Here is a 16,886-nt window from a genome sequence, read left to right as displayed (position 1 = left end):
ATTTAAGCAACCTCTACTTGACTACATATCTAGTTGCATAATTTCTTAATTTTAAAAAGTATTCTTGTTTTAATTATAAAAGTAATAAATGTTCATTGTAAAAAAAAAAATCTAAATCCCCAAAATAATTTTAAAAGTTAAAAACCACCTATATTCCAACCACCTAGACACAGGCTTGAGATTTTGTTATGTGTCTTCTCAGAGATACATAACAGGCTGGGTGTAGTGGCTCATAGCTGTAATACTAACACTTGTGAACGCTGAGGCAGGAGGATCGCTTGGGCCCAGGAGTTCTAGGCCAGCCTGGGCAACATGGTGAAATCCCATCTCTACAAAAATACAAAAATTAGCCAGGCATGGTGGCACACGCCTGTAGTCCCAGCTACTGAGGAGGCTGAAGTGGGAGGACTGCTTGAGCCTGGGAGGATGAAGCTGCAGTAAGCCACGATTGCGCCACTGCACTCCAGCCTGGGCGACACAGCAAGACCTTGTCTCAAAATTTAAAAAAATCAAATTAATTTGTAAAAAGTAAAAAAAGAAATGCGCATAGGTACTCTGTCTTTACAATGATACAATTCTTCTATGCATGTCGCTTTGTAATTTTTTTCATGTATGTCTCATGAGCATTTTTTTTCATATTAGAGATCATACTCCCATACTGCCATTCTAAAGGCTGCACAGGATCCCATAGTATGGATATACCATCCTTTAATTACTGCCACATGATATTTTGATCATTTCTAATTTCTCACTACTGTGAACAATACTGAGATGAGTACTATGTACCTACCCAGTTCCTCATTTGGGCTTCTCAGAAGTGTCACTAATGACGTACAGGATCAGATGACTCTGTTGTAAGGATTGTCCTGTGCACCATAGGACGTTCAGCAGCATCCCTGGCCTCAACCCACTAGAGGACAGTAGCAGCTCCCCAGCTCTGACAATCAAAACTATCTTCGGATGTTGCCAAATGTCCTCCCTGGGGTGGATGGGGTGCAAAATCCCCCCTGGTTGAGAACCATGGCTTTAGGATAAACTCCTAGAAGTGCCAGATCAAGGTGATTACAGACTTTTTATTTTCTTATCCATTGCTAAATTGCCCCCAGAAGGTTGAGTGCCCCCGTCAGCACTGGGGAACAGCCATCCTCCTTCTCATGTTTGCTGGTAGGAAGGTGGGTAGGGTCCACCCAGTTTTGTTTTTAATTAAATTAATAGATTCTCTTTTTTGAGCAGTTTTAGGTTGACAGAAAAATTGAGTGGAAAGTATATAGAGCTTCCATATACATACACTCATACCTTAACCCCCAGTTTCCCATTATTAATGAAGCAGGATACTTCCCTGACCCCTTTGCAGGCAGGAACTGGAGTACATGGGTGCTGGCAGGGGCAAATTCCACTCACTCACTGTTCCACCCCTCAGAGGAGGGGGAACACAGGTGAATGGGTGCAGGAGGTGGGGGTGAACGCTTTTGGGTGCCAGCAAGAGCGAACTCTGTACTGACCCTGTGGCAGCATCTAGGGGAGGGTGTCCATGACCCCTGAAGCCCCGGAAGAAGTGTTACAGTGCCCTTTTAGCTTTGCCATCCATGGACAGATTAAGTGTTAACAGCTCAGTGGATGGTCCATGTGACAGACACCCTTTTGCATTCACATTTGTGGCACCTGAGTTCTTGTCTGGCATCCAGGAGGAATGAGGTCACACAAATGACTTGAAGATGGCCAATGTGGGGGATTTTATTGCCAGTGAAAGTGGCTTTCAGCAGGAAGGGGAGCTAAAAAGGGGAAGGAGTGGGAAGGTAATTTTCCCCTGGAGTCCAGTGGTCCCCGATTGGACTCATCTCTAAAGCTATGCCATCAAGCTGTCCCTCTGAAGTCAAGCTGCTTCTGACATCCAACTGTAGTCTCCAATGTCCAGCTGCTTCTCCCCTCTCTGTTGGCTGAGCCTGGGGTATTTATGGGCACAGGATGGGGGTCGGGGCAGGCAACATTTGAGCGGGAAAACAGGGATGTAAGGTCTCACTTTGGGCTACAGTATTAGGCTTTTCAGCTTGAGGGTAGGGACCTCGCTGGGGACCAACCCTCTTCTGCCCAGAATTTCCCTGCCTCCTGTCCCTATCATTAATATCTTGCATTGGTGTGGTACATATGTTGTGACTGATGAGCCACTGTCAATGCATTCTTATTAATTGAAGTCCATAGTTTACATTAGACTTCATTCTTTGTGTAATGTCATGTATCCACCATTAAAGCATTGCATAGAGTAGTTTTCTGTCCTAAAAATCCCTTGTGCTCTTCCTGTTCATCCCTCTCCCCACCTCCTGAAACCCTGGCAACCACTGATCTTTTTACTGCCCCCATAGTCATTTACTGCTGTTTACAGACATTTGCCAACTTTTACAGAATGTCATATAGTTGGAATCATACAGAACGTAGCCTTTTCAGATTGACTTCTTTCACTTAGTAATATGCACTTCAGGTTCCTCCATATCTTTTTGTGGCTGGATGGCATATTTCTGATTGCTGAATAATATTCTGTTGTATGGATGCATCATAGTGTGTTTATCCCTTCACCTGTATAAGGGTATCATGGTAGCTTCCAAGTTTTGGCAATTATGAATAAAGCTGCCATAAACATTTGTGTGCAGATTTTTGTGGATACATAAGTTTTTAGCTCATTTGAGTAAATACTAAGGAGTGCAACTGCTGGATCACATGATAAGAGGATGTTTAGTTTCATAAGAAACTGCCAAACTGTCTTCCAAAAGGGCTGTATCATTTTGCATTTCCACCCGCAGTGAATGAGATTTCTGTTACTCCATGTCTTCACCAGCATTTGGTGTTGCTGGTGTTTTGGATTTTAGACATTCTAATAGGTATTAAGTGTTATTTCATTTTTGTTTTAATTTGTAATTCCCTAACGACATATGATGTAGAGCATCCTTTCTTATGCTTACTTGCCATCTGTAGATCTCCTTTGGCGACATCTGTTTGTATCTTTCACCCATTTTTAACTGGGCTGTTTGTTCTCTTATTGTTGAATTTAAGAGTTCTCTGTATATTTGGTATATGAGTCTTTTTTTAGGTATGTGTTTTGCAAACACAAGCTGGTTGAGACCACCGACCTCCAACTGGGCCTGCACAAAGGCATGAGAGGTGACCTTTTGACATCAGAGGGCCAAACACTACTCCCTCAGATCATGTTAATGCCACCATTTTCTGAACTCTTATTCCGTGAAGGGCAATGAAGCTTGACCACGTATGCATGGATTGCCAATTACCTCATGTTCTCTTACCCACAATCGCCTTTCCCCATGCCTCAGGCCACCTTGCTCCTCTATCCCATAAAGATCCCTAAAATCCCATCTTTGGGAAGGCAGATTTGAGACCTGTTCTCCTACCTCCTAGCTTGGCTGCCTCATGAAAAAATTACTTCTCTTTAGGAAAATCCATCATCACAGTGATTGGCTTACTGTGTGTAGGCAAACTAATGTGGTTGGGTATCAATTGTATGGATATACCATATTTTGTGTATCCATTCACAAGCTTATGGACATTTGTTTCCAGTTTGGGGCCTTTAGGATTGATGCTATTTATATATAGTCCTTGGGCTGTGACCAGTGGTGTTAAAGTATTTTGCCATCTTAATCTTCAACCTGTAATACACAAGTATGTCTTATTATACTTCAAACTATGTGAACTGATACCAGAAATGCCAACATGGGTTATGTGACTCCAGACCTGAATTTCAAAGCATATTAATCAGAAGTTCCTGCCACATGCCCTGCAAACTCCAGGATGGCATACGTTTCTAACAAAGGTCATGGAAAGGCACATGCAATTCTGAGAACCCCAGTTCCTAAAAGTCACCAAGCCACAGACTAGCAAGACTGACATTTTCAAGCTTCCCACTCCCAAGCTGACATTTCTAAAAGAGACAATCTCAGCTCAAGTGCCAGGAGAAAAGCCACATGCGCAGCTTTTGGGATCTGTGCCTGCCACTGGTATTTGGGATTTGTTCAACTCAAAAGCCACTGCACTTTGCAGACTGCCTGTACCTTTCGAGTTCTAGGAAGCAGAAAAAAAGCGGCTGAAAACTAAAGTTATACCCTATGAAAGAAGTTGCAGGACCTGGATCCATTCAGATAGAGAAATTCTTCCTTTAGGTAAGCTGCACATATTCATCGGAGATTTCAGCCAAAGCAACACAGGATAAGGAACTTGAGACAAATGTCCCACACCCATTCTTCTGCAAAGTTAGCAGGCTTAAAGAAGGGGATTTCTGGCAGAAATGCAAGGCTATTTTTTGTTACCCCAACCCTTACCTCACAATACCCTATCCTGCCCACTACCCAAATCACCCCCACGTACACCCTTTATCATGAGAGTAGTGGATGTTGGTAATTCAAGTGGCAGTTGGATGCTGACTGCATTTTCCCATCCCACTCCATTGGGAAGGGCAGGAGTTCAGGTTGAGTCAAGTGGTTGACACCTATTGCTAATATCATCACACTTTAAGTCAGGTAACTTTCCCACCTTTTTCTTTTTTACTTCAACCTATAGTAAGAACATATTGTACAACTTCACACACACACACACACACATCTGTTCACACATATACAAAATGAAAGTCTTACGAGACAATATTTTTCTCCTTTCACATGCAATGTCTTCTGATATTTTCTATTTTGTTTTGTTCTGTTCTTTTTCTTTCTCTCTTCCTCCTTCTTTTCCTCCAGCTCCTTCTCATTTTGCTCCTCCTTTCTCCTCCTCCTTTTCCCCTGCTTCCAAGGTTGGTTATGACCCGGAAGACCCATTTTACAATAGGTCACAACATACCACTGGTAAACCATTGCCTGGTGCTTGTGCCTCCTTGAGTTGCTCAGCTGAGAGAGCCTGCTCTATGCCAGGACCTGTGCTAGGCACTGAGGAGGTGGTGGTGAATTTTGTAAGGAGTCCCTGTCCTCATAGAGGTTCCAGCCTGGCAGGACCCAGACACAGAAAGAGAAGTGCCGGGAGCTTGTGACATGGACACCTGATTTGGGGTGGGGGGGTGCGGCAAAGGGAGAAGGGAGGAGATGATCATTTTGCTGAGTCCTGCTGAGCAGGAAGCAGACCAAGTGCATGTACGTGACCAGATGGGTTGAAGGTCAGAGCAAGAGTTCCACTCAAAGGGGACAGCAGATGCAGTCTCTCCGGCAACAAAATCCAAGTCTCAGTGGGGAACAGGGAAGTGACCAGCTTTGAGTGCCAGGGTGGAAGGCAGGCAGGGGCTAGTGGCGGGGCCCTCATGGACGTTGTTAGAGACTTTGCATTTTATTCTAAGTGCAACAGGAAGGAAGCCATAGAAAGGTCTCACACAGATTTTAATCTGGATACAGGCTGGGCATTTTGTAGCCAAAGGTTTTTGTGGTTTTTTTAAAAATTATTATTATACTTTAAGTTTTAGGATACATGTGCACAACGTGCAGGTTTGTTACATATGTATACATGTGCCATGTTGGTGTGCTGCACCCATTAACTCATCATTTAGCATTAGGTATATCTCCTAATGCTATCCCTCCCCCCTCCCCCAACCCCCTTTTTTTTTTTTTTTTTTTTTTTTTTTTTTTTTACAGGGTCTCACTCCCATGGCCCAGGCTGGAATGCTGTTGGTGCAATCACAGCTCACTGCAGCCTCAACTTCCAGGCTCAGGTGATCCTCCTACCTCAGCCTCCTAAGTAGCTGGGACTACAAGTGCGTGCCACCACACCCAGCTCATTTTTTTGTATTTTTAGTAGACATGAGGTTTCACCATGTTGGCCAGGCTGGTCTCAAACTCCTGGGATCAAGCAATCCACCTGCCTCAGCCTCCCAAAATGCTGGGATTACAGGTGTGAGCCACTGTGCCTAGCCAGCCAAGGGTCTTTCTTTTTTAAAAGCAAGACTTGGAGATTTCAGTTTAGTCACTAAGTGCTTATCCTTACAGATGATGACAGTCAGTGTTGCTTACAGAAACCAGGCCCAAGATCATCTATTCCAGTACAGGGGTGCAAAAATAAAAGTTGTTTTAAAAAAAAAAAATAGGAGTAGTAGGAGTTGCAGTAAGAGCTAGATTTTTTTGTGAGCCTCCTATTAATATATATTGGTCATGCTCTAAGTGCCTTACTTTGATTAGCTCCTTTGATTCTTACAACAATACCATGAGCTAGATACTATTATCCCATTTTACAGATAAAGAAACCAAGGCACAGAGAGGTTAAGTCACTTGCCCAAGGTCACACAGCTGCAAAGTAGCAGAGCCGAGACTCACATCCAGGCTCTTAAAAGGCTAGACAATACTGATAAATAAATAAACGGCACAAAAATCAAGGGGAAATAAAAGGGGTGTTCCTTCTTGGCTCTTTACCTGAAGGCCACAAAAGGTGCCATAGAGAAAGACGGTACCAGAGCGCACCTAAAGGGCCAAGGACTTTTACAGGAGCTTCGAGCTCCTCAGAGGCTGATGGAGAGAACATGGAGAACAGACGGAGAGAACTGTATAAACAGTTGAGCCTTAGGAAGTTTCTTTGGTTCAGCCTTCTCTCTCCTGGCCTCCACTGTCCTTCCCTGTAAAGCACTGTGTGTCCCATCATGTGTCTTTGAGTTAGAGAGGAACCCAGTCTGGCCAGGGTAGAGGGTGGTAGCGTTGAACAAAGAAATGGAGCGGGATGTCTGAGGACACTGAACAACACAGAAATGAGGACACGGGAGGCCAATGCTTGGATCTGATCTGGCCTCTGCCACAGCCCTACTGTGTAACCTGGATCAGCCACTGAACTCTCCAGGCCTCAATAGCCACATCTGTAAAATGGGGGTGATCATGGTCACAATCCAGAGTCAAACCTCATGGCAAGCTTATAGTACATAATATACACTCTGTAAATGTTAATTATAATAGTATTAAATTGTACTGCATCCAGCAGCCCATCCTGTCCGGAATGAAAACTACACAGGTTGAATGACAATGATGTTCATTAAGGCGGTGTTGTGTGTTGGCCTGGGAGCTGTTTTCTTTTTTAATTTGTAATTATTATGGATACATAATAGTTGTACATACTGGGGTCTGGTGAACACAGAGGACTTGATCACCAGCAGCTGCTTCTCCACTGAGCAATCACCAACCACGCCCCAACATTTGCAAAGAACAGACTCCCTAATTTGCTTCTTTGGATGAGACCAGCACTGATGAACTCTTCCTTCATTAAAAGAGAGGAATGGGAATTAGTAACACTCAGTTGATGTCAGAGATGGCAGATGTGGCTACAGACATGTCCTAAGGCTCTGTCATTCCACCAAATGTTGGAAAACGGCGAAGCCATCAACACAGTCATTTTTAGTCTTGTTCAAAGACATCATCCAGCGGAACTGGATCTGCCAGGTGCTCTTGCGGCTGTTTGGCTCCTGAATTCTCCTTCCAACCCCCCTGTGATGAGATGACTGCTTGTAAGACAACCGGCAATTACATCTTCTTAAGGGTCTGGGTTTATATCAAAACACTGGAAGCCCCGGGCGTGTGCCACCGGAAGGCCAGGCAACATTTGCGATAGATGGGGCCTTTAAGTAATCAAGTAAGTGTAAAAATGTACTTTTTATTCCTGAAAATGTGGAGAGTCTCACTTCCCTCCCACGCTGTCTTTCACAGACTTTTGCTACATACAAAGCTTGGACATGGTGGGGAGGTGATGTGAGGGTGTGCGGAGGCCCCTCGTGGGTTACCTGGGGTCACCTTTGGAGCTTGGTCATCACCTAGTGAAAGGCTTTTGTGACAAATGAAATCTCAAAGGAGAATGAAGCTGGGTACGGGGGCAGGACAGGACTCCATACCCAGGAACAGGACTGCTGACTCTGCACTTGCCTGGTCCTGAGGGTGAATGCTGCCTTAAATTCTGCAACCCAGGAGCCCAGCTTGCCTTACCTAGTCCTGGCCCCAATCCCTCCCTCCCTTCCTCCCTCCTTCCCTTGATGAATGACTCAACAAATGAATGAATGAACAGCCAAATGGACAACCCCAGGAGTAAATGGAGCAAATGCATATTGTTGAGGACAGTGATGATCTGTTTTTCAGCTGAAGGTGTGGGGTTTTTAAGAGGTTAATGCCTGGTCTGAAGACATCAGTAGGAAGCCACTAGCCCTGGGTTAAAAGCAATGGTGAAACAGAAGTTGCTCAGCTAACCCCAAACAGGGAAGACCCCTCTTGACACCTAGAAGAGGTGCCTCAGGGCAAGTAAAGGGCCCTGACATGATCACCCAGCCAGTATATATTTGACATAAAGTAAAATGACCCCAAGAAGTTGTAAGTGCAAAAATACACAGAAGTTGAAGAGGGGAGAGACCCTCGAGGAGCGGTTTGGAAATGGTGCGAGACGTGTCGGGCACGTGGCAAAGGACAAACCGTGAGCATCCTGCGGGCCCTGGAGTTCTTCAGGGACCAGCTCCAGGCCCGGCAGCCCTGTGGTGGAGCCAGCTCGGCTCCTCTTATATTCCCTCTAACAGGCTGTGTAATTCAGTCTTGAGGAGGTAATTCCACATGACGACCTCTGGATTCCCAAGGAAGATGCAGCTACCTCAGAGAGCCTAGATGGCCAAATGGCAGCCATCAATCCCAGAATGTCTTTCATTCCCCAGGAACCTACTGAGTGCCTACTATGCACTGGGGATTCATGGTACTGTGAACGAGACAGATATGGCCCTGTCCTCATGGAGCTTCCAGTCTAGTGGAGAAGACAAGTTAACAAACCAATTGCTGAATAATTACTCATCAACACAATGGCAATGAGCTTAGATTACCAGTTCTATAAGGACCGAGCTTTGTGTCTGTTTTGTTAATTGCTATGTCACAACAGCCTGGCATAGTAAGTACTGAAAAAATATTTGTTGAATGAAGTGCTATAAAAGAAAAGCAAAAGTCAAGGGAAGGGAATAGGAGAGGACCTAAGCTAGCTGGGGGCACCAGGGTCCCCTAGAAAGAATGTGGAGGATGCTCCAGGCAGAGGGAACAGAGAGGTGGGGCAGGGGGAGCTGGGAGTGGCAGAGGACAGGAAGATGCAGCTGTGGGACAGAGGGCTCTGAGATGTGGCAGAGGTAGGCAGGGGCCAGATCACACAGAGCCATGTTCCAGGGCCCTTCTGAAGCCTGACTAAAAAATAAAATAAAATTCTAAAACAGGACAAGAGGGAGAGGCTGGGCACGGTGTGGCTCATGCCTGTAATCCCAGCACTTTGGGAGGCCGAGGCAGGCGGAACTCCTGGTCAGGAGTTCAAGACCAGCCTGGCCAACATGGTGAAACCATGTCTCTACTAAAAATACAAAAAAATGAGCCGAGTGTGGTGGCGGGCACCTGTAATCCCAGCTACTCGGGAGGCTGAGGTACGAGAATTGCCTGAACCCAAGAGACAGAGGTTGCAGTGAGCCGAGATCACGCGACTGAACTTCAGCCTGGGTGACAGAGTGAGACTCCATCTCAAAAAAAAAAAAAAAAAAAAGACAGAGGGAGAGGAGCACATGCAGTTCTTTCCCTCACTGTTCTCTGGCTTCCAACACCACTCAATAATTTAAAATCATTTGATCATATATATTCATAGAATAATGTGTGCCTTCTTTTAATTGCTTAATAGGAGGCAGTGAAGAAATCATGAGTTATTGTCCCAAATGAGGCATTTGTCAAGGAAGAATTATGAGCCAGCCTCAGTTGGTGCTCACATCCAACCCAGGAGCAGCTGAATATTTCCAGCATTAGAAGAGAGCACAACATCAAACCCAGGGCAGCCCCCTCATCCTGCTTCCCGGCAAAGCCCAGCTGCTTTCGTGCATTTATAAACTTATTCCCGGATGGAAGAGCTCTCACCCTCCCTGCCCATGAGCATGCTCTGAAAAATGAGAGATGGCTTCAGCCTGACAAAGTCGATGATAAAGAAAAGAGTTTCCCAGGGCCCCTGAGAACCACAAGCGTTTCACCAACACCTTCCCTCACCCCCTCCAGGGAGGACCGCAGCCAGCTGCCCACATTTCCCAGCTTAGAAGAGGCTCCTTAACGTCAGCGATAGCTTCAGTGTACTGGGAAACCAGTGTGGTGTCTGTGGGCTCCTCCCGGAGGAGGACCGGGAACGAGTGGGCGCCTCCTGCAGAGCACTGTCACCAGCCCAGGTCAGGGTGCAGCTGCAGTACTGACGGACCCAGGGTCATTTCAGATAACAAACTTGGAAGAGAACTTAATTTCACCTCAGCAGACTGATGGGCTAAAACTAAGAAACCCGTTTGAGCGGATGGAGGAACCCATCACATAAAGTGATTTCAGGAGGTTCCCTCCTCCCCCAGACCAACCCTGACAGCTTGCCAATTTCTGAAATTCCACAGTTAGAGAATCTTTTCTTTGATGAGAAGCTCTAGGACTCCTAACACCTAGTGGGAACTTCTTAGGAGACCAGGCTCCTCTTGTATCTAGCACTTCGCCTCATCCCCGTTAGCTCGGCACTTCCCTTGCACAGAATTCCACCAGAGCTGGTTGTACGCATCTCTTGTGAACCACCTGGGGGCAGGAACTTGGACTTTTCAAATTCAAGTCTTCTGTACTGAGCACAGGTAGGCTCCTGCAAACTAAATGGAAGTCCCCCCACTACACCTCTGCTTGCGCTGTGCTCTTCTGAAGTGGTGCCCCATCCTTCCCCCATATCATCACCCCCAATTCTATTCATCCATCATTTGGGGCAGAAGACGGAACCCTGGCCTGGAATCCAGGAGGTCTCGTGTTCCCAGGCAGCATCACCTCCCCACATTGCAGACACCTCGGGGACGGGGCTCTGCTTCACAGTCTGTGACAGGATGATCTGTGCCTACATCTGTCTTCCCTGCTAAAGAGTCGGCCCCTCGAGGGAAGGGTTGGTGTTGTATCTACTGTAGAATCCAGCCCCTCAGCATTGTGCCTCAACAGTGGCCTTAAGTCAGGTTCATCAGAGCGGAGTACAAGACATGAGTTCACATGCAAGGGACTGAATAAGGGGGAGCTCCCGGGAAAGTTGGGGAGCAGGGAGGCCCAGCTTCGTAGTTGTGCAACCTGTGCCGTGGCTCCGACCCTGCAATCAGAAGGGTCTTAGGTTAGGTTTTAGGCTCTGCTGTCACTGTTGTTTTAAAATTCTTAATCATTTTTTAACAAGGGGCCTTGCATTTTCATTCAGCACTGAGTCCTGCAAATCATGTAGCCAGTCCTGAGAGCAAAGGGAGGTGGAGAGGCCCCAGCAAGGATGGAATTCAGGCCTTCATGCCAGGCTTAATTCTGATCCCATGGGGAGCTCTGGAACATAACTTTACTCCTCTGAATTTGTCCTGACTTAAGGGAGCCAGGCTGAGGGTCCCCCATGAAGAGGTAACTTCCCAGCCTCCTTCCCATCTCTGGGCATGGGAGAAGCAGCTCTTGTAGCTCAAAGGTGGCCTCGGAAAGCAAGTCGCAGGTGCAGGCAGCCATTAGAGGGAAAGCACATAGACGCTGGGGGATGAGAGGCCAGAAACCCTAAAACGGATGGTCTGGGCACAGCACCAACAGGGTCCGCTACCACCGTCAATAAAATGACTTGAGTTGAATTATCAGATGCAAACTATGAGGTCTGAGGAAGAGTGAATGACTTGCCCCGGGTGACCCCACTGAAAAGGATTTCAATAAAGCGAGTCCCTTCCAAAGAAAGAAGCTGCACCATTCCTCTCCCCCAACCAGCCAGTATTCATAAATACGCCACTGCGAACTTGCTCCATTGACTCACTGTGCTGCTTCTTCCCACATTTGGTTAACAGCATCCCAGACGGAGCAACAAATCGATTCTGAACACTCTCCTCTCCAGCAAAACGCACACTTCGTGGGGCAAATTCCCAGGCGGGCCTCCTCCTGACCACACGTCAGTGAGACCTAATAACCCTGTTCACGTTATTAGGGGTCTCACTAGTGTTAATGAGAGGCCCTTATTCTTAAACTGAACCAACTGAGATCCTGTTTCAGAAGAAAGCCTTCCCTTAAGGCAGACATAAACTTTGGGGTGCAGCTGCTGACACAAGTTGCCAGGATATCCAATTATGCTCATTTCTTCATATCTGAGAGATATCAATTGATTTAAATCCCTGATGTAAGGGATTTCAAAGCTTTCCAGAGAGATGAGGCCATGACTCCTTGCCTTGAGAAGAGATGTTTTCATGAAACGAACTAAAATAGGGGCACGTGCACCCACGTAGATCCAATTTGCTTTAGTAACTTGATACAGCTTTCCACCTGCTTTGCCCATTTTCGCCTGGTGGAGTAGAAGCTGTCAGTTTCCCTTTCGGGAAGGCCAATTTACCAAGTCATTGATATTCTCTGGTGTCTTCTTTCCCCGTCAGCCTGGCTTCTCGGATTTCATTTTCCAGCCAGTTGGTGGACTGCATTTCTAAGCTGGGAGCCCACTGGCTCGGCTGGAGATTATCCTCATCTTTATGGTTGTAACAGCTAACATTTATTGAGTACTCACCACCTGCCAGGAATTGTCTTAAGCACTTTCCATAAATCAACTTGTTTAACCTTTACAACAAATCCTATGAAGTGGGTATTACTCTACAGACAGCGGCACACAGAAGTTAAGCAACTTCCCCAAAGCCACACAGCTAGTGTGGTAGGCAGAATTCTAAGATGGTCCTGGTGATTCCTGCTCCTGGTATACATGTCCTGTACAATACCCTTTGAGTGTGGACAGGACCTGGGGATGTGAGGGGATATCACTTCACGGTTATGTTATATTACACAGCAAGGGCGAAGGGATTTGCAGATATAACTAAGATCCGTAAGTGAGTTACGTATTAATCAAAAGGAAAAATTATCCTGGATGCGGCTAACCTAACCAGGGAATAAGTAAGACAATCTCCAACTTAACAATGGGTTGGCTTTAAATCTGATTCAAAATTCTTCAAGATAACTTTATTATAAAATAAGCTTTGTGCTAGATAATGTTGCCCAACTGTAGGCTAATGTTGGTATTCTGAGCATGTTTAAGGTAGGCTGCACTAAGCTGTGATGTTTCATAGGTTAAGTGTATTAAATGCATTTTTAAAAAAAATTTTGAGATGGAGTCCCATTAACTCTTGCCCAGGCTGGAGTGCAGTGCCGCGACCTCAGCTCACTGCAACCTCCACCTCCTGGGTTCAAGCAATTCTTCTGCCTCAGCCTCCTGAGTAGCTGGGATTACAGGTGCGTGCCACCACACCCAGTTAAATTTTGTATTTTTAGTAGAGATGGGATTTCACCATGTTAGCCAAGTTGGCCTCAAACTCCTGGCCTCAAGTGATCTGCCTGCCTCGGCCTCCCAAAGTGTTGGGATTATAGGCATGAGCCACTGTGACTGGCCAAATGCATTTTTGACTTATGATATTTTCAACTTAGAATTATGAAGAAATAAGCCCATTGTAAGTCAAGGGGCATCTGTACTTTAAAGAGGGCTTAACCTTCTCTGAACTCAGAGAGACTGTCCTCTTGGCCTTGAAGAAGCAAGCCACTGTGAGTTCTATGGCTACAAGGAAACAATTTCTGCCAACAACCATGTGAGCTTCAAGGACCCTAAGCTTCACATGAGACTGTAGCCTGGTGAGATCCTAAGTAGAGGACCCAGTTAAAAGATACTCAGACTCCTGGCTCATCAAAACTGTGGGATTTAAAAAAAGTATGTTGTCGTAAACTGCTAAGTTTGTGTGATTTGTTACCCAGCAAGAGAAACAAATACAGCTAGTAAGAGGCAGGGCTGGAATACAAATGCAGGCAGCCTGATTCTAGAGCACTTGCTCTTAACCCCTGTGCAATTTGCAACTCTAGATCGTTTAGAATGAGGCATTGAGTAGACTAGCCAGAAGACTAAGCTCTTAGGAAGCTTGGGGTGCCGTTATCCTCACCCTGAGGCTCCCAGCTTGTCCATCCATCCAGCTCCCCCTTGTTTCATGTAGTACATTAGGCACAAAGCCAGCACAGAGGCAGCCAGCGTGGACCTTAGCATCCAATGAGGAAGACAGCAATAAATAAATAACCAGAAAGTCATAAAATAATTACAATAAGCAAAGGGCTCTCAAAGAGAGGCAAGGGTATTAGAGGAACATGTGACCAGCCCTAGAGACCCTAAAGGCTGAGAAGGAGTCAGCCAAGTAGAGGTGAAGCAGAAAGAACAGCAGGTGCAAAGGCCCGGTGGCAGGAAAAAGCAAGGACAGCAGAGGAACTAAACCAAGGCCTGGAGGGCTGGAAGGAATAGAGGGGCCCAAGATGAGGCTGAAGAGGGAGGGAGGGGCCAGCTCTATTGAAATGATGCTGCTCATTAGAGCCGATGCAGAGCCTCTTCTGTCAGCGGAATTCAACGCCACGTTACCCTGGACAACGGAAACACATTTCACTGAGCATCAGTGGCCCAAAGTCAAAATTTCTGCTTTCTGAGGAAGAAGCTGGAACTGCTTCCAAGCTCAACAAGTCTTGATAGGCTCATGTTGTGTCTGACAGCTTAAAATAGAAATCTTTTGCCCTTTTTCTTCTCTTGAATGTAAAAAATGGAACCTGAAGAGATGGTCTGGGCACGTGCAGTCAGCGAGCCCTGTGGGGTGAGGGGCCACCTGTCAGCATTTGTGAGGCTGGAGAGAAATCCCTTAAAAGAAACACAGGAAGAACGGGACCGTTGGGATTAAGCAGGACAACTGCAGTCTCCTGTCTCCTGACCTCGGGTTTAATGGCGAATGTCGGGGCCCTGAGATACATCACTCCGTGCATCAAATGACTTCTAAAAGCCTTGGCAGATAGAGACTTAGAGCACTGTGCCAGGCAGCGGGGAAGGGGATAAGGGCATTAGATGGCTGGGGATTACCTCCCGCTGCTATCACATGCCAGCTGTGTGACCTTAGGAAAGTGATTAACTTCTTTGGGCCTTGGCATTGTCATCTGTCAAACAGAGTGTCTGCCTTAAAGAGTTGTGATGATTGAAATAATGTGTGTAAAGCACAGAGCGAGTGTTCAAGAAATGTTAACAACAATAATTACCACCAGTCCTGCCACTGCTGCTGCTGCTAGTTATCACCACCACACCCACCACCTGCTAATTCTGTCATCCTCCACCACCACCATCATCATCATCATCATCTGACTTTATGCTGAGAAGACACTTTGAAAATAAGCCCTAATCTTCTACAATCCTGATTTGTGTTAAAGATGTATTAAATGCCCAAAAGGAGAGAATAAGAAGCCCGTCAAATACTTGGGAGTGCTCCATTCTTGTTGGCTGTGGCTGTGGCAGAGAATTCATGTCCCAAGGCTAAGGAACACTTAGTAATTCTGGCCATCTTGCTGGGGGCTCTGAACCTGCGCTTGTTGAATAACCTGTTGATTGCGGTTTGGTGCCCCAGTAGGTCTGACTCTGGGGAGAGTATGCGCTGATCTGCTGATGAGGACATTCCAGTCCATGCGGCAGCTACAGTTTGATTTAAATTAATAAATAGGCATCTCATTAAATTTTTTTAAACAGTCAACATACTCCTACCATAGGATCCAGCAATCACTCTCCTTGGTATTTACTCAGAGGAGTTGAAAACTTACATCCACACAAAAAACCTGCGCATGGATGTTTAGAGCAGCTTTATTCTTAATTGCCAAAACTTGGAAGCAACCAAGATGTCCTGCAGTAGGTGACTGGATAAACAAACTGTGTTCCATCCAGACAATGGAATATTCAGTACTAAAAAGAAACGAGCCATCAAGCCATGCAAAGACATGGAGAAAATGTAAATGCATATTACAAAGTGAAAGACGCCACTCTGAAAAGGCTACATATTGTATTCCAACTATATGACATTCTGGAAAAGACAAAACTATGGAGACAGTAAAAAGATCAGGGGTTGCCAGTGCTTGGGGGGAGGGAGGGATGGACAGGTAGACCCACAGGATTTTGGGGGCAGTGAAACTACTCTAAAATGTATAATGACACGTGGCTACATGTCCAAACCTGTAGAATATACAACACCAACAGTGAACCCTAATGTAAACTGTGAGCCTGGGTGACAAAGACATGTCAATACAGGTTCATCAGTTGTAACAAATGGACCACTTCAGTGGAGGATGCTGATGACGGGGGAGGCCGTGCATGTCTGGGGGCAGGGGTGTCTGGGAATTTTCTGTGCCTTCTGCTCGATTTTGCCATGAACCTAAAACTGCTCTAAAAAAAAAAATCAAGTCTATTAAAAAACAAATCACATGGAAAACAGGCCATTCCCTCAGGACTCTCCCAGGAAATACCACATTTACATGCACAAGTATATTTTGACCATGTTTTTTTTTTTTTTTTTTTGGGTGGGGAGGCTGCCCAAGTCAGAAATGGCAATTAAGAAAAACAAATGTACAGAACCCTCTCTCACACATGATTTCATGTGCTCTGCCCCAATCCTGTAAAGTATTATAGCTCTCCTTGTTTCTCAGGGGTTCGGTGAATGCTGCTTTTAAGGTTAACATGAATAGACAAAAGTTCTGGTCTTTTAAAAAGAAGTTGTTAATGACATAATTGTAAGAGGGAATGTTGGTCAGAATGAATTGTACAGAAGGTTTTATGAGGTTTTAAAAAAGCTTTTCTTATTAAATCACTATAAAACCTCACCAAAATAGCTCAAACTAACTTGGGAGAAGGCCAGTCATAATTAGTGGGAAACCTGAAATGCAGAATATTTCTTTAAAAATGCACTTTTAGTACTTGAGGTTCACATTGTAAAAGGAACCCACAGCTAATAAAGAGCCTGTGTCTTTCACAAACAAATAAGACTCCGTGTTTTAGGCTGGTGTCCTGAAGGAGGTTAAACAGTCCCCCTGTGTGAGTGTGGAAGAGCCACAGAACCTCACTGGGCCTCG

General features: G+C 45.6%; 1 protein-coding gene across 4 annotated transcripts in view, besides 1 other annotated feature; it reads right to left on the bottom strand.

Moving 5' to 3' along the window:
* Positions 1-16,886, bottom strand: part of CHST11 (carbohydrate sulfotransferase 11) — a 305,067-nt gene that overhangs the window by 119,101 nt on the left and 169,080 nt on the right. The gene's annotated exons all lie outside the window — the stretch shown is intronic.
* Positions 10,052-10,553: an enhancer, noted in NCBI's record as "H3K4me1 hESC enhancer chr12:105026139-105026640 (GRCh37/hg19 assembly coordinates)". NCBI's record gives its function as "activates a minimal SCP1, AML or CMV promoter by ChIP-STARR-seq in naive H9 embryonic stem cells {active_cell/tissue: H9 hESC(naive)}" and the evidence as "EXISTENCE:reporter gene assay evidence [ECO:0000049][PMID:30033119]".

This window comes from Homo sapiens, chromosome 12 (assembly GCF_000001405.40).
Source record: "Homo sapiens chromosome 12, GRCh38.p14 Primary Assembly".
NCBI lineage: Eukaryota > Metazoa > Chordata > Mammalia > Primates > Hominidae > Homo > Homo sapiens.
This window is presented reverse-complemented; position numbering and strand designations above follow the sequence as displayed.